At 49.9% G+C, this 26,325-nt stretch overlaps 1 protein-coding gene across 7 annotated transcripts in view; it reads right to left on the bottom strand.

Moving 5' to 3' along the window:
* The window catches only part of TSPAN9 (tetraspanin 9), a 209,181-nt gene that overhangs the window by 165,708 nt on the left and 17,148 nt on the right, over nucleotides 1–26,325 (bottom strand). The window contains exon 3 of one of the 7 annotated variants that reach the window (XM_047428125.1): nucleotides 9,723–9,853. The exons of 5 other annotated variants lie outside the window; for them this stretch is intronic. The gene's annotated coding sequence lies outside the window, so the exon portion shown is untranslated. Of the gene's footprint in view, nucleotides 1–9,722; nucleotides 9,854–16,540; nucleotides 16,828–26,325 lie in introns of those variants that run through there. One more of the 7 variants, XM_047428126.1, reaches the window with a different exon arrangement.

Genomic DNA, 26,325 nt, shown 5'->3' with positions numbered 1-26,325 from the left:
CAAGGGAAGTGCTGTGTGTACATCTTTTTCATTCACTGGAAGAGCTCGGCCTCACCTCGGGCAGGTGATGGGGGCTTGGTCAACATTAACTGACTGACTGATCAGCGGCAATGCTCCCCTAGCCCTCCCAGCCCCACAGTCCAGTTTACACTGTATGTGGTCCCTGGCCCAGGCCCGTGCCAAGCTCAACTTCCTGCCCTAGCCCAACCTGGGCTAGTGGAAAGGAAACGCTGGGCATAAAAGGAAAGAGGTGACATCAATAGGTAGAGAGATGAGGAGGGGACAGGGAAGGGCTGAGCTAAAGAAGGCAAGCCAGAGGGACATGACGTGTATTTGGGGCAGGGCCAGAGTGAGGGCTGGCACAGCTGGGGAAGAGAGAGTGACGGGCTGGCACAGGAGTGGGGAGAGCAGGCTCCAGGGGAAGGCTGTGGCTGCTGGTGGCACAAGGGTCCCCAGACAGAGGAGCTCTGGCCCTGCTGGGTTTCTGTCACCCAGGTCCTGCCAGGTTTAATCAGCCAGGTTCCAAAGAGCCAGCTGTGTTCCCTGAGGTGAATGAGCACGCCAAGGTTGTGTCCTGTCCCCAGGCCCCCAAGATCCTGTTCGAACTCGTTCTTACTAAAAAACTTTCCACGCTTGAGGGCTCAGGGAGTTATGGCCTTGGAATTCCTCCCACTCATTCCAAAGCATACATTAAAGCTTTCCAATTAACACCAGCTGAAAAGTAAACCTTCATTTTAAAGAGGCAACAGAGGAAAGGAAGAGGGAACGAGTGGGCAATGAATTTCCCAAGCAGGCATCTGAAACCGCGGAACTGCTGGGCTGAAAGGACCTCCAGGATCATCTGGCACGAACTCCTTGCGCTACAGAGAGGCACCCAGGCCCAGAAAGCAGAGTGACGTGCACATGGTCACACAGCCAGCCCATGTGGAGCAACACCAGACTCCGGGGCGCTGGCGGCCAGGCCCGTGCCCTTTGAGTGACAGGGCACCGTACTTCCCCTCCTGCCCTAGCCCAACCTGGGCTAGGGCATATTCTCACCTGGGAAGAGCCAACACCTCCCCACAGGAGCAAAAGCCCAAAGTCACCCACACCTTTCAGCACAGGTTTCTCTCACCTGCCAATGGCTCACTCCCTTCCCCAAATCAAAGGAGGTGACCTGAAAGAAGGGAGAAGCGGGGTGCACAGGATGTGGTCAGTGGAGAGGAGCGGGGGTGCATTCACAGCAGAGAGGCCCTCCAGTGAAGCACACAGCCCTCCGGGCAGGGGCAGGACGGGCTGAGAGGATGGGGAGGGAGAGAAGGCCAAGACTTCCTGCAGAAAAAAGCACACACAAACATCACACGGGCAAGGGCATTTCACAACGGAGCTCCTGGAAGGCAGGGGCTGATCTGGGAGTCCCAGCAGGCCTGGCGAAGCTCAGACCCAAGTTTCCCCACCTGGAAAGAACACGGACTTTGGAATGCCCCAGATTTGAGTTTACATCCCTTTTCTGGCATCCAAACTGGATGACCCTGGGGAGTCAGTGAACCCCCCGAGCCTTGTTTTTCTCACCTATAAGTAGATGTCTAGTGCAGCACCTGATGCATCAAAGGTAAAGCAGGAACTGCTGGTTATTCAAACCACTGAGACTTCCCTCCTGGTATCTTATCCACCCTTGGCCACTTTATAAGCATCCTGAGGGCAGAGAGCATAGCAGCTTGTCCAGTGTGGGGTCAGGGAACCAGCTTGGAGAATACCCATTTGTGGACTGACTTTCTAAACAACATTCCCCTACCTTCGCTGTCGGGGGTACAGCCCAAGGGGTTGCATCTGCTGATAGTGTCCCAAAGGCGGTGCTAAGCTCCATTTTCACCCTACTCCATCCATACTCCAGGGTCCCTGTGGACAGGGCGATCTCGGTCCTGCGCCCACAGCTCTCCCACACTGTCCACCGAAGTCCTGCCTGTCTTTGCAACCTGCGTGCCAGGCTTAACATGTCACCTGACCCTCATCACATCTCTGGAGGGGCCGGAGGGAAGAAAAGGAGGCGTAAATGTTTTCCACAGGTCACAGATGATGAAACTAGGCAGAGAAATTAGGCTGCTGCTACCTGGCAGTCAGCATAAGCCCAATTCACACCATGGCTGGGAGTGGGAGAGACCCACTGGGCACAGCTGCAGGGAGGGAGTGCCAAGGAGGCCAAGGGCTGCAGGTGCAGTGGGGCTGAGCTGAGAGGAATGTTTCCCCATGTTTGTCAATAAATATAAAATAAGTATCCCTGTTCCATTAAAAAAAAGAGCAGAGAGGGGTCTGGCCAGGAGCGGTGGCTCATGCCTGTAATCCCAACACTTTGGGAGGCCAAGGCGGTCGGATCATCTGAGGTCAGGGGTTCGAGACCAGCTTGGCCAACATGGTAAAACCCCGTCTCTACAAAAATACAAAAATTAGCCGGGCATGATGGTGGGTGCCTGTCATCCCAGCTACTCGGGAGGCGGAGGCAGGAGAATCACTTGAATCCAGGAGGCAGAGGTTGCACGAGCCAGGATCATGCCACTGCACTCCAGCCTGGGCAACAGAGCAAGACTCCATCTCAAAAAAAAAAAAAAAAAAAAAAAACGGCGGGTGCAGGGGCGGTGCGGAATCAGGTAAATGTGATAATGCAGCTGTTAGTGCTGGAAATGAGGATGAGGATTTTCTACATGCCGGGGGGGTTCTACATGCTTCACGTATCAACTCACTTCACATTTGAATAACCTTGTGAACTAGAGCCTTTATAATCCCCACTTCACAGGCGAGAAAAAGAGTCTTAAATAGCTTCCCATGTCACATAACTGGAGAGTGGCAGGCCCAGGAGGGGAACCTGGCATGGGGCACTAACCACCTCCCTGCACTGCCTCTTACCACACATGCCTCCTCCACCTTCAGGCCATTCCCTTCACCTCCCAGCCCTGAGGTGACAGCTCCGCAGGTCCCAGGACCAGCAGCCACTGCCTCCCAAGGTGCTTCCTCTCGCTGGAGGGGTCCGGGACCTGGATCTGCTCAGGGGATTGGACAACTGCTCCAACCCCCTAAATCAGGCCAGAATTCTCCTGGGATGTGCTGTTCCCATAGTCTCAGGTTCCCAGAAGAACAGATGGACAGGAGAATTTCTGAATGAGTAACTAACCACAGAAAAATAAAGTTATGTAAATCAGCCTGGAGCACAATTACAAAGAAATTAGGGATGGCCTTTCCAAAACTCAGCCTGAGGAAGTGGGAGATACCCAGAATGTGTGCTGCCTGCCCCGGGGCAGAGCTGGGCCCACGGTGGGTTTCCAGGCTGCCCCTCTTTACAAAATGATGAGGTTTTTACCCCACGGGCAGCAGCAGAGGGACCGCTAAGCACTTGGATTTCTCCCACCAACGGAAGAGACAGGCCCTAGGATACAAAAATCGGGCAAATAGTCCCACCACTTCCTCTCCCCTCCCCTTGTTCTGTTTCTGCTGAAGTGCTTTTATTAATGAGCCACTCGCCACAATCTCCCTCCTGCAGCTTATAAAACAGAGTCCAAAAAATGTACCACCGACTCTGCCCTATCAGGATAGGAAATGACGGCAGGAAAACTCAAAACCCTCCCATCACAAGCCCTTCCAGCAGAATGGGTCACCCTTGCAACACCCATCAGGAAACCTGGATGACGAGGAACCGTCTGTGCAGCCACCCAAGACAGCCTGGAAAACAGGAGGGGAAATGGGGACAGGCCTTAGCTGGAATTTTATGTTTTCCATAATTTAGAATGAGACTATCTATCCTGCTCGACTACTTCCTTTCCTAAAGCCATCCTGCTTGTAAAGGTGAAGATCTGTCACCCTGAAAGGCTTAATAACTCTTCTGACACTCAGTTTGTGTCTGTCCCCTATGGGGATGTCCCTCTACCCCTCAGAGCCACCTCGGGCTGAGGATGAGTCCAGGAAACAACAAACAACCACCAAGCCAGAATGCGTCCAAGGGCGGCCACAGAGGTAGTGGGGTTTAGAAATGAAGTTATCTGAGAAACAGCTGATGGAACTGGAGAAGAGACAGAGGGGTTCTGTTGTCAAATACTCCCAGGTTGTCATGCGGACGACAGGGCAGGCGCGCGCTCCCGGGCTCTGACGGCAGAGGCACGGCCAAAGGATGGCTCCGGAAAGGCAGGGCTGAAAACCTGAGCTGTGCAGCAGCAGGGGGCAGTTCTCATCAGCAGAAACAGCCAAGCAAATGCTGGCCACATGACGGGAATCCAGTGTGAGGGTGACCTACGGGGACCCTTCCTCCTCCAAGGGCCTCTCTTTACCTTACAACAATCACAAGCCCTGCCGAGCTGCGTGACCTCAGGACGGAGGGCTCTTTCTCGGTTTTGAGTATCGTTTATTCTAAGTGCTCAGGAAGTGCATTATCCCCAGCACTTCACAAGCATTGCCGTGTTTCATCTTCATCAGAACCTAGTAAGACAAGTACGATGCCTGTCATCACATGGTAGGTACCCAAAAACATCCCTTTTACCAATGAGAAAACTGTGACTCAGAGAGGATTCGCAGCTTGCTAAGGTCAAATGTCCAGGCAGCAGCAGAACTTGTTTGTGAACCCCAGTCTGAAGCCCCAGGGCCTGCATCCTGATCTGCTATGCAGCTTATAGGGGCAGCAGCCTTGGTCTTGAGAGACCTGTTAAAGAGTTGGCAGGCTGTGATCAAATGCAACAGGGACATCACTAGCAGGGATCAAGTTGTTTTCCCAGAATGCTCAATAAACATACATTGCTTTTACAAAAGAAAATAGCGAAACTTTTATCTAAATGATCAAGTTCAGCCCACTGTCTTGCAATCAGAAATGTGTCCGCTTAAGAAGTAGTTAGCCAGTCAAAAAGACAGACAGTAAAAAGGGTTGTTAAAAAAATAAAAATAAAGGTTGTCTGCAAGGATGTGGAGAAACTGGAGTCCTCACACACTTCTAGTGGGAATGTAAAACGGTACAGCTGCTTTGGAAAACAGTCTGGAAGTCTTTAAACAGTTCAACACACAGTTATCGTATGACCCAGTGCTACAGACTGAATATTTGTGTCCCCAAAATATTCTCATGTTGAAATCCTGGGCCCCAAGGTGATGGTATTAGCAGGTGGGGCCTTTGGGAGGTGATTAGGTCATGAAGATGGAGACTTCAGGAATGGGATTGTGCCCTAATTAAAAGGGACCTCAGAGAGCTCTCTTGCCCTGTTTCCACTGCATAAGGATATAAGTTTAGAACCCAGAAGAGGGCTTCACCAGCACCTGACCATGCTGGCACCCCGATCTGGGACCCCCAGCCTCCAGAACTGGGATAAATAAATGCCTATTGTTTATAAGCCACCCAGTCTGTGGGACTTTGTGATATACAGCAGCCTGAGCTAAGACCACCTGCAATTCCACTCCCAGGTATTTGCCCAAGAGAACTGAAAACATATGGCCACACAAAAGCATGGCACATGAACTTCACAGCCACATTATGTCTAAGCCAGAAAAGGTGGTAATAACTCACAAGTCAGTCAATGACGAATGGGTACAGATAAACAAAATGTGGTCTGTCCGTATGCTGGAATATTACTGAGCCCTAAAAAGGAATGGAATTCTGACACGTGCTACAACACAGATGAACCCTGAAAACCTTATGCTAAGTGGAAGAAGTCAGTCACAGAAGACCACATATTGTATAATTCCATTCATATGAATGTCCAGGGTAGGTAAATCATGGAGACAAAAGATACATTAATGGTTGACTCAGACAGGGAGAAAAACTGGGGGCAGGGAAGGGGGGCATGGGAGTGATTGCTAATGGAGTTTCTTTTGGGGGTGATAAAAAGGTTCTAAAATTGACAGTGCTGATGGTCACACGCTGAGAATATAGTAAAAACCACTGAACTGTCCTCTTCAGATAGACAAACTCTATGGTATGTGAGTAACATCTCAATAAAACAAACCTGTTGGCCTTCTTCCTTAATGTTATCAGATTACAGGGAATCTTTTTTTTTTTTTTTTTTTGAGATGGAGCCTCACTCTGTCACCCAGGCTGGAATGCAATGGCGCAACCTCGGTTCACTGCAACCTCCACCTCCTGGGTTCAAGCGATTCTCCTGCCTCAGCCTCAGGAGTAGCTGGGCTTATAGGCACCCACCATCATGCCTGGCTAATCTTTGTATTTTTAGTAGAGGTGGGGTTTCACCACATTGGCCAGGCTGGTCTCGAACTCCTGGCCTCAGGTGATCCACCCGCCTCAGCCTCCCAAAGTGCTGGGTGTGAGCCACCATGCCTGGCCAGACTGCAGGGAATCTGATGAAGGAGAGCGATTATGGTGTTAATGAGAAAGACAGCACCCCACAAATTCACCACCTCCTGCCAGTGTCTAAGGTGTCATTCACTCACTCAACAAACTCATTAAACACATGCTATACACCACGCACTGCCCTACATGAGGAGTCAGCAAACTACAGTCTGTGGGCCAAATACAGCCCATCGCCTGTCTCTGTATGGCCTGCCTGCTAGAAATGGTTTCTATACTTTATAAGGTTGAAAAAAAATCAAAAGCAGAATATTCATGGTGTGGAAATGACATGAAATTTAAATTTCAATGTCCGTAAATACATTTTTTGGAACACAGCTGCATTCATTTACGTAGTGTCTGCAGCCACTTCTATGCTGCAAGGACAGGGTTGAGAAGCTGCAGCAGAGACCATATGGTCTGCAAAGCCTAACATGTTTACAGTCAGGTCCTTGACAGATGAAACTGGCTGATCACAGAGCTAGATGTCAGAGATGCAGGAGAGGAGAAGGGATGATTAAGTCCTCGTGGGGTTTATGGCCCACTGAGGATGACAGTCAGGGTCTGAGGATCACACAAGTGAGTACACAATGATAAATGGGGGGAAATGCTGCTGGGAGGGGAAGAACCTACTGCCCAGTGAGCACGTGGAACAAGGGGACCTGCCCAGGCCAAGGGTCAAAGACAGCGTCCCTGCAGAAGGACTTGCCTCTGGACCTGGGGACATGGAGGGAGCCACATTTGCAAAACCTCAAAGAGGGAGGGCGCAAGGCCCAATAGAAGAGTAAAAGGACACTGAGGCTGCAGGGCAGAGTGAAGGGCAGGGCATGCATGGCAGCTGGCACTCTCGAACTGGCACACCCCTGAGGGTCTCCCGGGGTTCACAGCTCCAGGTCTGTGTCACTGGAGAATGTGGGAAGGGGACTGAGAACCATCGGATACACCTAGTACAACCCCACACCAGGCAGCCTAAGATGATAGAAGATGGAAGAGTTCATCAACCAAAAAAGTATCTATTGATCACTTAACAAAGTACACATCACTTTATTTACCCAATATAGTACAGGACACAAAATAAGAAAGAAGCCATCTTTTGACTTCAACAGGAAAGAGCAAGTTGAAGAAACAAGCCCAATTTCTCATCATGGCCTCAGGACCTGATCAGAGCCGGGTCCCACTACTCAAACATAATTGCACTTGTGTTCCCAGTGCCTGGAATGAGCCTCCCCAGGCATCCACCAGGATGCTCTCTCCATCCTTTGCAGGGTCCATCAGATGTGACTGACTGGAGATGCTCTCCCTCCCCACCACACATGCCCTCTTTTACAGCCCCTAGGCCTTTACCCCATCCCTTTCTCCACCACACTTCCCGCTACCCAACAGACATGTATTCCCTTGATGGGCTCTTACATTAGAATGTAAGCTTATGAGGGCGGTAACTTCGTTTTTCTCACTGCTGTATTCCCAGCACTATGACCTGACATAGAGTTAGCTCTCAATAAATATTCATCGAATAGCTCCTGAACAATCAGTGGGTCAATATAGAAGTTAAGAAGGAAATGTAAGAATTTCTGGAAACAGGCTGGGCACAATGGTGTATTCCTATAATATCCACACTTTAGGAGTAGGAGGCCAAGGCAGGAGAATTGCAGGAGCCAGGAGTTCGAGACCAACCTGGGCAACAGTTAAACCTTATCTCTACAAAAAAATTAAAAATTAGCTAGGTGTGGTGGCATGTGCCTATAGCCCCAGCTACGGGGGAGTCTGAAATGGGAGGATCACTTGAGCCCAAGAGGTCGAGGCTGCAGTGAGCTATGGTCATACCACTCACTGCACTCCAGCCTGGGTGACAGAGTGAGACTCTGTCTCCAAAAAAAAAAAAAAAAAAAGCAAAAATAAATGAGATTGAGAATAAAAAATATATATGTAAAAGATCAATGAAACAAAATCAGTTTTACAAAAATTTTTTAAATAAAAAGAGAAATAATTTAATTCTAGAAAAAAACAAAATTGACAAACTTTTAACCAGACTAAGGAAAAAAAAAGAAGACCCAAATAAATAAAATCAGAGATAAAAATGGAACATTACAGGCCAGGCGCGGTGGCTTATGCCTGTAATCCCAGCACTTTGGGAGGCTGAGGCAGGAGGATCACCTGAGGTTGGGAGTTTGCGACCAGCCTGACCAACATGGAGAAACCCCGTCTCTACTAAAACTACAAAATTAGCCGGGCATGGTGGTGCATGCCTGTAATCCCAGCTACTAAGGAGGCTGAGGCAGGAGAATTGCTTGAACCCAGGAGGCAAGGTTGCAGTGAGCCGAGATCGTGCCATTGTACTCCATCCTGGGCAACAAGAGTGAAACTCCATCTCAAAAAAAAAAAAAAAAAGGAACATTACAATTGATACCACAGAAATTCAGAGGCTCATTAGAGACTACTAATAGCAACTAGATGCCAATAAATTGAAAAACCTAGAAGAAACGGATAAATTCCTAGACAATAAATATTCACAGACTAAATACAAACACAAAACACCTAAAGAAAATGTAAAGGCGACCTGTCCTCGATTTGTAACCTTGAGGAAATTACCTCTTTACAGCTCAGCCTCCTCATGGTGAGATAAAAATAATCAATGTGAGTAAAAAAGGTAATGCAGCTGAGTGCAGTGGCTGAAGCCGGTAATCCCAGCACCTTGGGAGGCCAAGGCGGGTGGATCACCTGAGGTCAGGAGTTCGAGACCAGCCTGTTCAACATGATGAAACCCTGTCTCTACTAAAAATACAAAAATTAGCCAGGTGTGGAATTACACCTGTAATTCCAGCTACTCAGGAGGCTGAGGCACAAGAATTGTTTGAACCAAGAAAGCGGAGGCTGCAGTAAGCCAAGATCGCACCACTGCACTCCAGCCTGGGCGGCAGAGTGAGAGTCTGTCTCTGTCTCAAAAAAAAAAAAAAAAAAAAGGTAATGCACGTAAACACTGATCATTCTTATCATTTTTTGTGTTAGTATCTATTTTGTGTCACACAGTAAAGGAGAGCAGTTTTAAATACATATCTCATTTAATCCTCACATAAACCTCATCAGGTAAGTTTTATGATAAATTTCTTTTAGATAGATGAGAAAAGAGAAGCTCAGAGATACTAGGTGAGTTTTCCAAGGTCACACAGTGAACAAGTAACAGAATTAAAATTCAAACCTGGCACTGTCAGGCCTCAAGTTCTATCCTCCTTCCTCTATATCCAACTATGAACCAAAAATGTCAAAGGAGGCTGGCGAAAGGGGACGGGCATCTCCTGGAGCAGCTGAGAAGTGTTACGAGGAGGTAGGATCTGGACTATGTTCTGAAGTGGTACAAGAATTCAGAGGAGGAGCAGAAGAAAGGTATTCTGGCCCAGAAAAGTGAAGGTACAGCAGTTCTTTTCCACAGGAGACTTACACCGTTGTGCCACAAATGAGAGAGGACAACAGCAACATCCCAGCACTCGCACCTGGATGAAACCTTCGATGCAGCCGGTCCAACCACTTGTTTTACAGAACAAGAACTACGGTCTACGGCGACAGAGTGACCTGCAGAAGGTTGTAAAAGCTGTAGGACTGTGCCTGGGTTGCTGCTTCCTTTCTAAACTGGATGCTTTTTTATTTTTGTTCATTTAACTCCTGGTTAAAAATTGAAGAATCAACACATGTTCACTACAGCCAGAGAAAATAAACCAGGATGAAGAAAAAGTCAACAGTGTCCCCACCGCTAGCCAGAAACAATGCTAAATACTTGCATATGTAACATGTTCAGAGTTACAGTAAATGACTGGCACATCAGAACAGTCTGAACCTGGGTGAACTGTGCTTGTGTTTGCATTTTTGTTTCCAAGTCGGTTTGCAATTCATTCATGTGTTCACTCATTCAGCCAGCAAGGACTGAGGACCTCCTATGTAACCAGCACAGCTCTAGGCACAAAGGATCCTGCAACAAACAGACATAAGGAAATGGACTTTTGTTCCTTTCCCACAAGGCTGAAAAAAAACACCCATTGGACTGTTAAAAACAACAGATGAAGGCAAGTAAATGCACCAGCTATGTCCTGGCCAAAGATCTCCAAGAGAATGGGTACACTTACCTCCACTGTGCCCCATACCTCACTAAATCAAGAGAAAAGAGACTTTTGGCCAGCATGGTGGCTTTAAGAGACCCTGTCTCTTTAAAAAATTTGTAAATTAGTATCCTAGGTATTTTGTATTGAGCTGTTAATATTTCCTAGAGCAGAACCTTCTAGTCTACCAGGGAGATCTAAAACGGAATTCCTGTGCCCAGGAGCCTATGGAGGAAGAGGGCAGGGTCTTGGCCTCTGTACTTAAACCTAACACCCTATCTTCCCTGGGCCTGGTTTCCTCAGTCCACAGACTAAGGACCTCCTGCTTTACCCCCTCCACAGAAAAAGCCCACTCCCGGTCTTGTGCTGAGGTGGAGGAGGGACACTTACCTGGCTAAGGGAAGCGGGGGCAGAGATCTGGGGAGTGGGACTGATTCTTAAGCAGACATTTAACCTGACCTCCTGTTTTCAGCCCCTCCTGGTGCTGCAGATTGCTAAGCCTTTTGGGGGTTCTGGGGTGCTCATAGGGTTGCTGATGCTTTAGGATTCAGCTTTCACAAGCCAATTAACATCTGTCCTTTTACCTACAGTCTCTAAGATTGTGTTGCTATCATCAACTCCTCTGGTCTCTTTAAAATTGTAGTTTTATGCCCTAAAAAGTCTTTTTTTTTTTTTTTTTGAGACAGAGTTTTGCTCTTGTTGCCCAGGCTGGAGTGCAGTGGTGCGATCTCGGCTGACTGCAACATCCGCCTCCCAGGTTCAAGCAATTCTCCTGCCTCAGCCTCCTGAGTAGCTGGGATTACAGGCGCCTGCCACGATGCCCGGCTAATTTTTTGTATTTTTAGTAGAGACGGGTTTCACTATGTTGCCCAGGCTGGTCTCAAACTCCTGACCTCAGGTGATCCACCCTCCTCGGCCTCCCAAAGTGCTGGGATTACAGGCATGAGCCACCATGCCTGGCACTAACTTACTAGGTTCCTAACAAAACAGGCCAACTAGGTCACCCTACACAAGGCCCAGAATCCACAAGCGACATACACACACAAGTTCCAATCACCTTTTAATGCCTCACTCAAAATGTAAAGACTTCCAAGGATCACTAGACTTCTGAAGAAAATGTTCACAGGAAAGACAGAAAATACACACACAAACACACACACACACACACACTCTCTCTCACACACACACACACACACACACACACACACAGACTATATGAAACAGTAAAGAATCCTTCCTCCTGGCCAGGAGCGGTGGCTCACACCTGTAATCCCAGCACTCTGGGAGGCCAAGGCGGGCGGATCACGAGGTCAGGAGATCGAGACCATCCTGGCTAACACGGTGAAACCCCCGTCTCTACTAAAAATGCAAAAAATTAGCCGGGCGTGGTGGCGAGTGCCTGTAGTCCCAGCTACTCGGGAGGCTGAGACAGGAGAATGGTGTAAACCCGAGAGGCGGAGCTTGCAGTGAGCGGAGATCGCGCCACTGCACTGCAGCCTGGGCAAGAGCGAGACTCTGTCTCAAAAAAAAAAAAGAATCCTTCCTCCCAAAATGAAACTATCATTAATATCCTTAGACAAATAAGATAATGATATTGTACCCATGAAACCAAAACCAAAAGGGTGCTATAAAAGACAAATACTTCGAAAACAAAATTTCTTGAAATTAAAAATCTGCTAACTAAAATAAAAACCCCGATAGAAGGCCGGAAGATAAAGTGGAAGAAATCTCCAGGAAAGGAAAGGAGGGGGATAGGAAAGAAAATAAAATTGTAAGACCAATCCAGGAGATTTAATATCTAAATTCTATGAGTTCCAAAAGAAAGGAGAAAACGGGGGAAGGAGACCATCAGTGAAGTAACTCAAGAAAATTTCCCTGAACTAAACAGTGGGTGTTTCAAGATCGAAAGGATCCACAGTGGATGAAAGTCGAGCCACACTAAATCACGTCATGTGTGACACAGCAGAACACTAGAGACAGAGAGACTTTTCCACGGGACACCAGAGACTCCAGAGAGAAAAGCCATGCTACCTTCAAAGGAATAAAACTGGAATGGCATTAGACTTCTTGAGAGTAACCCTGGAATTTAAAAGAAAATTAAGCAATGCTTTGCACAGGACGGGGGGCTGGAACCTAGCTGAGATCCTATACCAAGCCAAAATATCAAGGAAGTGTGAATGCAGAATGAATAGTTTTTTCAGATTTGCAAGACCAACAAATATTCACAGAGTACCTACTATGTGGTCCATTGCACTGTCCCTGTGATACATTTATCACAGCACATTGTAGCATCCGATGACTCACTGTCTACGCCACAGACTCTGGAGGAGAGACTGTGTCTTATTCCTTTCAATACCTTCAGCACAGGGGTGAGCACAGGTGCTATGGGGTTACACAAGAAAGGCACTCCACCCAGAGGGGAACGCTTAGTTAGTGGAGGGAGGTGACATCTAAACTGAGTACACAAGGAGTATCCAGAAATGTGAGGATCAGGTATGGAGGTTTTGGGGAGTTTCTTACTGGGTTTAGGAATAGAGTTGAAAGTATAAATAGCACGAGGTTGGTCCAGGGAGCAGGAATATGTGCAAAGGCTTGGGGGCCTGGACAGAGACAAGAGTCCCAGTTGACATTTGAAACTCAAGCCAGGAAAAAATGAATTCATGCCCAGGTAGCACTAGCGATATCACCAGGTATCTGGATTTGTTTTGATCACCTTTTCTGGAACAAGGTAATTTACAAATAAATAAAATACAGCCCATCTGAGCCTGAAGAATGAGGACACTGAAGCAAAAGGCTGTCTCTGGGCGTGACCTAAAGGTCCTTGCAGCAGCTTGGCAGTCCCACAGGGAAGAGGCCACCACGAAGCCAGTGCCCCAAACAGAAAGGGAAAGCCAGACCTAACAAGAGGCATGCATGGCCCCAGATGAAGGGCACAGGGATAGGGGGGCTGGACTGGGGGTCTGCTGTCCTTGGTCCCTCTCTCCTCACCCCAGCCTGTGAAACCCAGAGATTTAAGGCTCAGAAAGATCCCAGGCCCAAAGACTGGGAACGAAGGCCCTGAGTCAACCCATCAGGCAGCCAAACAGGCTGGGGATCTCATCTCAGCCTCCAGGCCACTCCCGCCCCCTGCAGTGCCGCCTGGCAGACCTCAGGTTTTCACGCAGATTTTCACTCGCTGGATTTCGAGGTCAGAAGAAACAGTCAAGGATGAGTAACAGTCTGGCCCCTCCACCACTCTAACTCAAATTTATGGAGGCAGCTTTCTAGATAGAGCCTCCCTCCCCCACTCCCCACGGAGGGGGCCGCCGGCGGCTCAAGTCTAATTGGATTTCCACAGCCCCGTGATGATTTCGTGCTCTGCGGTGGCAGCAGTGGTGGTGGTGGCGGCAAGGTTTCTGAAATAGAAACAAAGTCAGGGGCCTGTTTGCTTTGCTTCTGTGGCTGGAAACCCGCTGGGATCTGAGCAGCCAGGAGGGAGCCTTTCCTTCCCAAAATGGTCCTTTTCCACCCTACTGACCAATGCACCCTCCATCCCCAGGGCCCCAAGAGCTCTGCAGCCAAGGTCTTGGTTTTGCTGATGGTACATATTCAAGGTCGGTGAAGACAGTCAGCCTGAGCTTGAGAAGCCAGCTGCAGCCTGGCGCTATATAGCCAGGAAGCCTAGGGAGGGGCACCTCTTTTACTGTTTTGTTTTGTTTTGTTTTGTCGAGACAGGGTCTCACTCTGTTGCCCAGGCTGGAGTGCAGTGGCACCGTCACGGCTCACTGCAGACTCGAACTCCTGGGCTCAGGTGATCCCCCCACCTCAACCTCCCAAGCAGCTGTGACTACAGGCACATGCCACCCCGTGTGGCCAATTTTTTTATTTTTTGCAGAGACAGGGTTCTCATTATGTTGCTGAGGGTGAACTCAAATTTCTGGGCTCAAGTGATCCTTCTGTCTCAGCCTCCCCAAGCGCTGGGATTACAGGCGTGAGCCACCAGGCCCAGTCCCATCTTTCTTTTTAAGGACCTCCTCCACTTCCCACCACCAGTTTCTGCCTTTGTTAACTTTACATTTTACAGGCATAATGCCTCCCAGTCTGCAGATCTCAGAACACTCAACCACCTGTGTCTCCTGTGTCCTCAGTCTCTCCAAGCTCTCTCTATTATACAAGAGGGGTAAACTGAGGCACAGGATGTGGTAAGCTAAAAGCCATTATTGTGGGACTCCACCACTGTCAGAAACTCCCATGCCAAGTCAGCTGCCAGCTGTTGGTGCCCGTCTCTGACATGTGTCCCCCAAACACCTCCCTGTGGGCATAGGTGGGTATATGCACAGGCGAACTAACCAATCACGCACGTGTGTGTGAGAGCCACAGCATGGGCAGGCATGTGTGTGTGTGCGTGCGCGCACAAGAGCGAGTGTGCATGCTATGTGTAGGTGCACATGGGGTGAGGATGGAGTGGGTGAGGGGTAAGGGGGTATATGAGTGTGTGTGTGCAAGACTGAGTGTGCGCTGCACATACGAATGAGCACGTGAGGGTAAGGGAGGCGGTGATGAGTGTGGATGGGACCAAGCACACCTGAGAACATGAGTGCCCGTGACCATGTGTGCATGTGTGTGTGAGCGTGTGTGTGTGAACGTGTGTGAGCGTGTGTATGAAAGTGTGTGTGCGCGTGTGCGTGTGTGCGCATGTGTGCGTGAGTGTGTATGAGCGTGTGTGCGTGCGCGTGTGTGCGTGTGTGTGAGTGTGTGTGTGCACGCGCGTGCACACAAAGCAGGCCCTAGGCCCCCAGGGGCATGTACACTCCTTGAGACAGCTACTAGGTAGGGCAGGGACCCTCACCCCACCGGGATTCAGACACCAAAGCACATGGTTAACAGAAAAGGAAGCACCCCCAAATCCAGAAGCCCCTGTTTCCCGCTCAGCTCGCCTCTTCCCTCCCTGCCCCTCTCAAGGCAAGCTGCACAGAGGCCTAGGCTCCTGGGTTCCCTCCCTTGCTCCACCCCAGCCTTACTCTCTGACCCCAATTTTTCCAGCCTGTAGCTTTTTTTTTTTTTTTTAAGACAAGGAAAAATATCTTCCTTACTTCCTCAGGGAGCAATAAATATAAGGATTATGGAAGTGACGTTCTGAAAGTGATCTGAACTACTTAGAAGGAAAGGGATAGGTAAAATACGGGGCATGTTGGCCCAGACTTCACTCGGAAACAGAAGGAGCTTCCCTCCCCTGGGAGAGGACGGCACATCTGCCGCACTCCTCCATCTGCCTGCCTCGGGGCACTGAGCCCAAGTCGGCGGCAGAAAGCTCAGGCCTCTACACAGCAGGGCTTGTCTGAACACAAAGACACAGGGTCCTGTAGGCCCAGAGAGGCTGCTGTGCGCAGACGGGGCACAAATTCCACTCCCCAGGCAGCCTCCCCTCATCTGGAAACAATTTGCTTTTCCTCCTACCACACAAGTGAGTTAAAGCAGAGGGCCTGCCCTCACCCCTCTCCCAGGGTGACCAGCTGAACGCCTGAGAGCAGCCAAACAACAGGAACAGGGTCCCCCTGCCCATCACCCCCACACGCCTGTCCACTGTTGTCCTAAATGACCGGCCCTTTTGCTCTGGAAATATGGACAAGAGTCCAGGGCACAACCTTTGGAACCTGCCTGACCTAAGCTGACAGCTGGCTCCACCACCTTTTAGCTCTGTATCCTCGGACAAAATGTTTACTTTCTCTGAACTTCTTGCTAAGTAAATTGGAGTAAAGTTGCTGGGCGGATTAAATGAGGTGCCACAAAGAGTCTGCACCGAGCCAGGCACACGATAAGCACTTGGTAGCTAACAGTGATTAGAGGCCAGGCGCAGTGGCTCACGCCTGTAATCCCAGCACTTTGGGAGGCTGAGGCAGGAGGAATGCTTGAGCCCAGGAGTTCGAAACCAACCTGGGCAACATAGCAAGACCCCCATTTCTACAAAAAATGCAAAAATTAACCAGGCGTGGTGGTACATGCTTACAGTCCCAGCTACTCAGGAGGCTGAGGTGGGAGGATCTCTTGAACCCAGGAGGTTGAGGCTTCAGTGAGCCATGATCATGCCACCGGACTCCAGCCTGGGTGACAGAGTGAGACCCTACCTCAAAACAACAACAACAATTAAAAAAAAAAAACAGTTATTAGTACTGCTACTGTCACTTACCGATTTTCTACCGAGCAGCCACAGCAATCCTTTTGAAATGTATGCCAGCTCTCCCACTCCTTTGCTCAAAGCCCTCCATGGCTCCCATCTCTTCTGCCATAAGAGCTAAAGCCCCTAAGATGGCCTAGATAATCCAAATCCCATGACCTTCCCCTTGCTCACTCCCCTCCAGCTGTACCAGCCTTGAACAGGCCTCATGTGCTCCCACCTCCTACTCCCGCTGCCCCAGGAGGCACCACCCCAAGATGTTCACAGGTTCACTCCCTCCCTGTCTTCCAGTCTCTCCTGAAATGCCAGCTCCTCAGTAACGCCTTCACGGCTCCCTGACCCCGCCTCATCCTCCCGTCCCGCCCTGCTTTACTGTCCTCCATAGCATTTGCCACCTCCTGATATACACCAATTTTCATTGTCTGTCTCCTCCACCAACATATGAGCTCTTGAGGGCAGGGATTTTTCCTCACTCCTGCAGCCCCAGAGCCGGGAGCAGTGCTTGGCCAGAGGAGCCCTTCAAATATCTGTGGGATGAGGCTGAGGACACTTAGTGTGAACCAAGCAGAGGCTGGGACCAGAAACACAAGCCCTAAGCCCACTTTCCCACTCTCCAGGTGCTAGTCCTTTGAGGCTGGTGGCTGCCTCATCCCAGCCACTTCCCAAAGTCACAGCCAAGAGACAACAGGAGCAGTGTCTAGGAATACATGTTCGTGCATGGCATGGTGGGGAGCCCTACAGAGACAAAGACCCCAAAATGATTTCTCCCAGCAGCATCCCCCAGGCCAACTTGCAGTCCCAGTTTAGGGACCTTTGAGGTCCCCAGGTGGGCACGTCCAGTCCGATTCACCACTGAGTCCCTGGTTCCTAGAGCCTGCCTGCACACCAGAAGTGTTCAATGAGTGTTCAGCTAAAGCATAAGTGAGCAAATCCCATACAGATAAGCACGTGAGGAATGGAAAGATAACCAACATAAGAATCCTCAGTAAAATATTAGTTGACCTAAAACAGCATGCAGACAACAGCTACCGCGGACGAGGCTGACAAAAATAGTGAATATATTTTCATCATAGTCACATTGAGGGCAAGTGTGTTCTGAGGCAGGAACTGGTGACGGCAGCCAAGGGGAATAGAGAACAGGCTCAGGAAATCTCTTTTCAGTGAGTGCATTTTAAGAAGTAGGACAAAACTCTGCACATCACGACAGAATGTACTTGGTCAACGCTGACTGGGATTATATCATGTTTTTATTACTGTCTTGACATCCCCCAAGGGAGCCAGCTGGAAACTAGGAGGCAGAACATGTAGGTTTCTAGACAGGCTCTCCCACCTAACAGCAAGTGGCCTGGAGCACATGGCTTCACCTCGTGAGTTCATCTTCCTCATTCAAAAGATGGGCAGGTTGGGTGGAACACTGTCCTGGCCACCTGGACACTGGGATGTCCCTCTCTGGGGCTCACTCATTCAGTCCACAAATATGGGTTAAGTGACCTCTGTTCCAGATCCAATTTTGAAATATGCAACATGTTATTATTTACTGTAGTCACCATGCTGTGCAATAGCTCTCAAAAAAACATTCCTCCCTGGGGCCAGGCGCAGTGGCTCACGCCTGTAATCCCAGCACTTTGGAAGGCCGAGGCGGTCGGATCACGAGGTCAGGAGATCGAGACCATCCTGGCTAACATGGTGAAACCCCATCTCTACTAAAAATACAAAAAATTAGCCGGGCGTGGTGGCGGGCGCCTGTAGTCCCAGCTACTCAGGAGGCTGAGGCAGGAGAATGGCATGAACCTGGTGGGAGGCGGAGCTTGTAGTGAGCTGAGATCGCGCCACTGCACTCCAGCCTAGGTGACAGAGCAAGACTCTGTCTAAAAAAAAAAAAAAAAAATTCCTCCTTGGCCAGGGTAAGCAGCTTATACCTGTAACCCCAGCACTTTGGGAGCCAAGGCAAAAGGATCACTTCAGGCCAGGAGTTCGAGACCAGCCTGGGCAAAATAGCAAGACTCCGCCTCTACAAAAAAATTTTAAAAATGTTGGCAGGGCATGATGGCATGAGCTTGCAGTCCCAGCTACTTAGGAGGGTGAGGCAGAAGGATCGCTTGAACCCAGGAGTCAGAAGTTGCAGTGAGTCATGATCACACTACAGTAGTCCAGCCTGAGCAACAGAATGAGGTCCCAACTCAAAAAAAAAGAAAAAGAAAAAAAGGCAGGGGGAAAGAGCAGGTGCGTGCAAGATTCTCTCAAGAGTTCTGCCAGCACCACTACTAACTGAGCCTCTACAATGTGCAGCAAACCATCCTTGACCCAGTGGGGTGACACCTCCTCAGGAGCTTCCAGTCCGAGGAAAAGAAAGACCCTAGGGGAAGAGACATGAGACCCAGAGAAAGGAGCGGATGAACAGATCAAGGGTGACAGTATCCATTCAGAGCCATATTCCTGAGCAGTGGAATGGCTGCAGCAAGGCCGCCAGGCTTCGCTGGGAGCCTCCCAGCCACCAGGGAGCAGGGAAAACAACGGGCTAATCAGAGCCATCCTCTGTCTCAAAGGCACTGTGTCTCCAGACACAGGAGACAATGGGACAAGGTGCTGACAGAAGGGGCTGACCCAGATCAATGGGGTGCCAGTCAGGCCGAAGTCAGAAGGATGGAGATGAGCACAGACACCGCCCAGGGGTGGTAGCAGCCAGTCCGTGAGGCCCGAGAAGAATCCACTTTAGGCAGGAAACAAGGGGTGCTTGTTTCATAAAACAGTAGTAAGGAGCACATTCCAGGTGTGTTTTCTGGATGTGTGTGTAGGCTGGGGATGGGAGGCTGCCAGAGGATGAATCATGGGGCTCAGAGGAGGAGTAAGATCCAAAATTGTGTAGAGTGGCATCTAAGAGATATCTCATGCAACATCTTGGTTAACTTTACAACTCCAAACACAGCATCCCTAAGCAACAGACGTGGGTTTGGCTTAAATCCCAGCAGCAACAGGGAGCTCACTATCTTCAAGGTACCCATTTCTCTGCTGGATGGTTCAATTTTCAGAAAGTTCTTCCTGGACCTAGACCCAAATCTAATGGCCTAGAATCCTTCACCAAGAGTCCTAAGTTCAGTCCTCAATCCTACACATGTTGGAAAACTGTTATTATGCCCCCCTCCAATAGTACTCCATAAAAGACAATTTCCCAACAGAATGAACATTCCCAAATCCTTCATCCAATTCCTATGGAGTGTAGTTTCCGTTCTCCCAGTCACCCTCCTCCAGATGACTTCAGACTTGCCAATGCCCCAACCAGAATTAAGTAAACCCAATGCTACAGGTGTGATCTGAGCTCCTGGGAGCCCAAGCTCCACACCCGGGATGGTACTGTTCTTCTTAGTAACCATGAAGCATGGTTCACTTATATTGTCTTCCATTTATTCTCATTTACTTGTTCAATCAACAAACATTGGCCACCTAGCACTGAGCTAGGTACAAGGGATAATGAGAAAAACACCATATCATCTTTGTACTCAAAGACACAGCCAACTTAGAGAGATAACAACAAAGCTAGATAAATTAAGTAAGGGGAAAAGAACATGCTGCTTATGGGTTCTTGTAGGAGTGTTTCCTAGAGGCACCCACCCCAGTGCAGAAGGATGACACCAGGAAATGAGGTGATGCCTGGGGTGAGTCTTCAAATAATGCAGGACTCCCGGGGACAGCCCTGGTAAAGCCACAAGGTCTGGACTTACCGTCCCACCTAAAACAACTGAAAAATTGGACAGAACACACGAAACTACTTCAGACATCGGGCAACAGGCAACACAGGACTGCAATCCCTGACAGACGAATGGAACAAAACAGGCAAGTCCTCTGATTGTCCAGCTTACTTCCTGGAGGCAGCTTCCACGCAGCAGTTCAGACAACAGGAATCCAAATGGAGTCCAGAGGTCTCACCAAGTTGAGGAGACAGGAATTAGAGTTCATGCAGCTAAGATTCTTAGGGCAGAATACCAGAGAGGAGAGGAGAGCAGAGAGTGCGAAGAGACTTCGAGAAGAGTACCCAGACTCTCTGGCTGATCTGCACACCAGTGGGGTGAAATCCACAAGACTGAGAAAAGAACCACTGGAAAGCAACAGGCCCAACAATCTGTGGAGCACACACAGGGCCAGACAGAGTTCACATTCCCACCAGCAAGAGTGGACAGACCTTGGCCGGGCGCGGTGGCTCAAGCCTGTAATCCCAGCACTTTGGGAGGCCGAGGCGGGCGGATCACCATGAGGTCAGGAGATCGAGACCATCCCGGCTAACATGGTGAAACCCCGTCTCTACTAAAAATACAAAAAATTAGCCAGGCATGGTGGCAGGCACCTGTAGTCCCAGCAACTCGGGAGGCTGAGGCAGGAGAATGGCATGAACCCGGGAGGCAGAGCTTGCAGTGAGCTGAGATTGTGCCACTGCACTCCAGCCTGGGCGACAGAGCAAGACTCCGTCCCAAAAAAAAAAAAAAAAAAAGAGTGGACAGACCTCAAAAACACAGGGTATTCGGTAGAATCCTCTGAAGGGTGTTGCCTTAGCAGTGAGGCTAAGTGAGCCCTAGACTAAAGGCTGGTCTGGGTCTACCCCAACAAAGCTTAACAGCAAACCTCAAATGTATGAAACTGAGCCCAAGCAATTTAAATGAATGCCAGAATAAAGCCCAATACCACTCAAGGAAATATAACAAAACCCAATACCCATCAACATTAAATTTACAGGATCTGGCATCCAATTAAAAATCAGTAGACATTCAAAGAAGCAGAAAAATATGGAGGAGAAAAATCATAAACAGAAAAATCAGTCAACAGAACAAACCCAAAAATAACAGAGATGATGAAACTAGTAGATAAAGATGAAATAAACAAGTATTGTAAGTACGCTCCAAAGCTCAAGAATGCAGAGGAAAACATCAACATGATGAGACAAAGATACAACAAACACTCAAATGGAATGTCTAGAAATGGGAAATACAATGTCAGAAATGAAAAATACACCAGAGGGAATTATTGAACATGAGATTACCCACTGCAGAAGATCCGTGCGCTTGAAGACATAGCAATAGAAACTATTCAAAATGAAGCACAGAAGGAAAAAATACTGAAAAAATAACATCAGCAACCTACAGGACAATATCAAACAGTCAAATATCCATATAATTGGGGTACCAGAAAGAAAGGAGAGGGAAGTGGAGATGGAAAAATACTTAAACAACAGCTGAGCAAATTTTCAAATTTGCTAAAACAATGCAGTTAAGAGATAAAATAGGCCAGGCACCATGGCTCACACCTGTAAACCCAGCACTTTGGAGAGCCAAGGCAGGTGGATCACCTGAGGTCAGGAGTTCGAGACCAGCCTGGCCAACATGGTGAAACCCCATCTTTACTAAAAACACAAAAATTAGCCGGGCGTGGTGATGCACACCCATAGTCACATGGCTACTCAGGAGGTTGAGGAGCAAGAATCACTTGAACCCAGGAGGCTGCGGTTGCAGAGAGGCGGGATCACTCCACTGCACTCCAGGCTGGGCAACAGAGTGAGACTCCATCCCAAAAAAAAAAAAGAGAGAGAGAGAAAAAAAAAAACAATGCCATATCCGGGAAGCATTTCAAGCAAGGTAGATCACACTGAGAACAATGAAAAATGAAACCTCATGACTGGGAAAGGAAGAAAGAGCTACAAGTAATTTGGCATTACAGAAACAATACGGACAAAGTGACTCTAAGCAAAGAACGAGGCTGGATGGGAGCAGATGTCAGTCCCCAGCAGGCTCTGTGGGTCTCAGGCAGTCACTCAGCCCTCCCTTGCAGGCCAAGGATGAACCACCTTGTTCTAGACAGGTGCAACTGATTTTCTGAACCTAAAGGCAAATTTGGCAGTTTTCCTAACAGGAGGGTCCAGAGAACAGAAGCGAGGTCTGGGATCCGAGTGTAACACCTGAGCCCTCAGCCTGCCCCCTCTTCATGGGAACAACCCAGCTGAGATGGGTCCAAGGGTAGACCCAATTTGGAACAAAGACAGAGGCAATGAAAACATTCTACCCATCTTTAAGGCTCTTCTCCCTGCAACTCCTGGAATCAGGTAACTCTTAAGCCAGAAAGGACTTCAGGCATCATAAACCCCTCACTTGACAGATGGAAAAATCTGAGGCACCAAGAAATGACATGACTTGCCCCAGGCCAGCTGGGGGCCCTGACTCCTACTGGGCAGCTCTTCCCACTGACCCGCTCTGCCTGTCACATCCGGCTGCACTCTGCACTCTGCACTCTGGCCGACGTCCTGCATCGGTGCACATCTACACATGCGTGTCTCCACACGTCCACACTAGCTCCTCAGGGGCAAAGACAGACCCCGGCATCACTGAGCTCCTGAACTTCCACGGAGGAGGTGCTCACATGTCTCCCTCATGTGCACTGAGTGAAAGGGGCTTCTCTGCCTGACTCTGGGGAAGGGAGAAAGAGATGAAGACTCCCCAGTCATTTGAGATCAGAGCTGTCCCTAGCCTGATGTGGGAGAAGGATAGAGAAATTGAAAGAGACATTCAGAGAGGCAGAGAGGCTGATGCACCACCCCAGCCAATGGCTGTTACCAGGCAACTCCCCCAGAGGCATGGATTGCGGGGGGAGCCATTCCTCTGGGCTCTAAGTCCTGCTACCTTATCAGATTGGCCCTGGGCCAGCACTGTACTTGCCACCCCTCCTCCAGGAAGTCACAGAAGAGGAAGAGGAAATCGTCTTGAACTTTCCCTCTCTTCCCCTGCCCCCTCCCTGCCATAGTCCCTTCCCTCAGCCCCATTCCTCCTTGTGGGTTCCGGGGTGAGCACCTCCTCCCAGAGGTAAAGAATGAGCAAATTCTTGGGCTGCTCCTGGAGCCTCGCTTTTTAACATCCTTCCATTCTGCTCAATTCTCAGAAGCCAGTGGCTGGGAATGCCAGAGAGATCTGAGCTCAGCCCACCAAACCCAAAATAGCCACACACGTGCCTCTCTCAAGTCCTCATGGATTTGGCCATTTTGGGCGCATGTTTTCCTCCAAAGCTGCCCACAGACTCTGCTGGGAGCTCTGAGGTGACCCTGGGTCGAGCTGACGAAGACGGAAGCAGGCATGGGAGGGGGAGAGAAACGACAGAATCTGGGTCACAATCCAGAAAGCCTGGCTCCAGCCTCCTCTGCTCAACTGCCCAGACACCCAAGGAAAGCCAGCCTCAGTATCCTCAGCATGAAATTCTGAGCAATGGCCTCCTCTTCCCTCAACGTCCTCGCCACCTCTTTTGGGAAAGGCAGCATAACTCCCCTCCCAGAGCCATAGACACTTTAACAAGGAGCTCCTGACTTAAGAAAGATCCTCTGTAATCCCAGCACTTTGGGAGGCCAAGGCAGGCAGATCACGAGGTGAGAAGATCGAGACCATCCTGGCTAACATGGTGAAACCCCGTCTCTACTAAAAATACAAAAAAACAAAATTAGCCGGGCGTGGTGGCGGGCACCTGTAGTCCCAGCTACTCGGGAGGCTGAGGCAGGAGAATGGCGTGAACCCGGGAGGCGGAGCTTGCAGTGAGCCGAGATCATGCCATTGCACTCCGGGCGACAGAGCGAGATTCCGTCTCAAAATAAAAAAAAAAAGAAAGAAAGAAAGATCCTCACTGCCTCTCCTGAAATGTTTGAAACCCCTGCAATATGAAGATGGGTGGTTTTAAAGCAAGCAAGTGTCTAAGTGTCCTGGGGAAATGGATGAGATTAGGGCCACATCTCTTAGATCACAAGTGCAATATTCATTCATTCATTCATTCAAAAAATATTTCTGTGTCCACCAGGTGCCAGGCAATGAGAAAACAGGGAAAGCACCAGTGAATGGAAAACCAAGGCCTCTGCTCTTCAGAAGGAATAAAGAGACAATGCACAAGAGATACTTAGGAGAGATGTTAGAAATGTCCCTGCCTCTAAGAATGCCAGTGAGGCCGCAGAAGTCCCATGCCAGTAAGTCAGTTCTCTAGCAGGCAGTGCAGACCCTGGAGTCGTGGGGAATCGGGAGGTAGAGGTGGCTGCAAGGTCTCAGAAACACCAGGGTGCACAGACCAGTCCCTACAGCACTGGGTTTAGGATGTGGCAGTATCTATGTTTTAGTTCCTGACTTGAATCAAGACTGTATTAAAGATTATTGATTTTGAACATTTAAAACTACACAAGCGGCAGCCGCCGCCGCCCGACCGCCGGGAGGATGGAGTTCAGCGGGCAGCGGAGCTGTCTCAGTCTTTGCCGCCGCGCCGGGAGCGCCGCCCGGGAGGCAGCGGCTGGAGGAGCGGACAGGCCCCGCGGGGCCCGAGGGCAAGGAGCAGCCGCCTGCCTTGGCCTCCCAAAGTGCCGAGATTGCAGCCTCTGCCCGGCCGCCACCCCGTCTGGGAAGTGAGGAGTGTCTCTGCCTGGCCGCCCATCGTCTGGGATGTGAGGAGCCCCTCTGCCTGGCTGCCCAGTCTGGAAAGTGAGGAGCGTCTCCGCCCGGCCGCCATCCCATCTAGGAAGTGAGGAGCGCCTCTTCCCAGCCGCCATCACATCTAGGAAGTGAGGAGCGTCTCTGCCCGGCCGCCCATCGTCTGAGATGTGGGGAGCGCCTCTGCCCCGCCGCCCCATCTGGGAAGTGAGGAGCCCCTCTGCCTGGCCAGCCGCCCCGTCCGGGAGGGAGGTGGGGGGGGTCAGCCCTCCGCCCGGCCAGCCGCCCCGTCTGGGAGGTGAGGGGCGCCTCTGCCCGGCCGCCCCTACTGGGAAGTGAGGAGCCCCTCTGCCCGGCCAGCCGCCCCGTCCGGGAGGGAGGTGGGGGGGGGTCAGTCCCCCGCCCGGCCAGCCGCCCCGTCCGGGAGGTGAGGGGCGCCTCTGCCCGGCCGCCCCTACTGGGAAGTGAGGAGCCCCTCTGCCCGGCCACCACCCCGTCTGGGAGGTGTACCCAACAGCTCATTGAGAACGGGCCAGGATGACAATGGCGGTTTTGTGGAATAGAAAGGCGGGAAAGGTGGGGAAAAGATTGAGAAATCGGATGGTTGCCGTGTCTGTGTAGAAAGAAGTAGACATGGGAGACTTTTCATTTTGTTCTGCACTAAGAAAAATTCCTCTGCCTTGGGATCCTGTTGATCTGTGACCTTACCCCCAACCCTGTGCTCTCTGAAACATGTACTGTGTCCACTCAGGGTTGAATGGATTAAGGGCGGTGCAAGATGTGCTTTGTTAAACAGATGCTTGAAGGCAGCATGCTCGTTAAGAGTCATCACCAATCCCTAATCTCAAGTAATCAGGGACACAAACACTGCGGAAGGCCGCAGGGTCCTCTGCCTAGGAAAACCAGAGACCTTTGTTCACTTGTTTATCTGCTGACCTTCCCTCCACTATTGTCCCATGACCCTGCCAAATCCCCCTCTGTGAGAAACACCCAAGAATTATCAATAAAAAAATAAATTTAAAAACAAAAAAAAAAAAAAAAAAAAAAGATTATTGATTTTTGCCGGGCGTGTTGGCTCACGCCTGTAATCGCAGTACTTTGGGAGGCTGAGGCTGGAGGATCACCTGAGGTCAGGAGTTCGAGACCAGCCTGACCAACATGGAGAAACCTCATCTCTGCTAAAAATACAAAATTAGCCAGGAGTAGTGGCAGCCACCTGTAATCCCAGCTACTCGGGAGGCTGAGGCAGGAGAATCGCTTGAACCCAGGAGCGGAGGTTGTGGTGAGCCGAGACTGCACCACTGCACTGCAGCCTGGACAACAAGAGCAAAACTCCGTCTCAAAAAAAAAAAAAAACAACAACAACAA

This window comes from Homo sapiens, chromosome 12 (assembly GCF_000001405.40).
Source record: "Homo sapiens chromosome 12, GRCh38.p14 Primary Assembly".
NCBI classification, from domain to species: domain Eukaryota; kingdom Metazoa; phylum Chordata; class Mammalia; order Primates; family Hominidae; genus Homo; species Homo sapiens.
The sequence above is the reverse complement of the archived record's forward strand: the minus strand, read 5'-3'. Positions and strand labels throughout refer to the sequence as shown.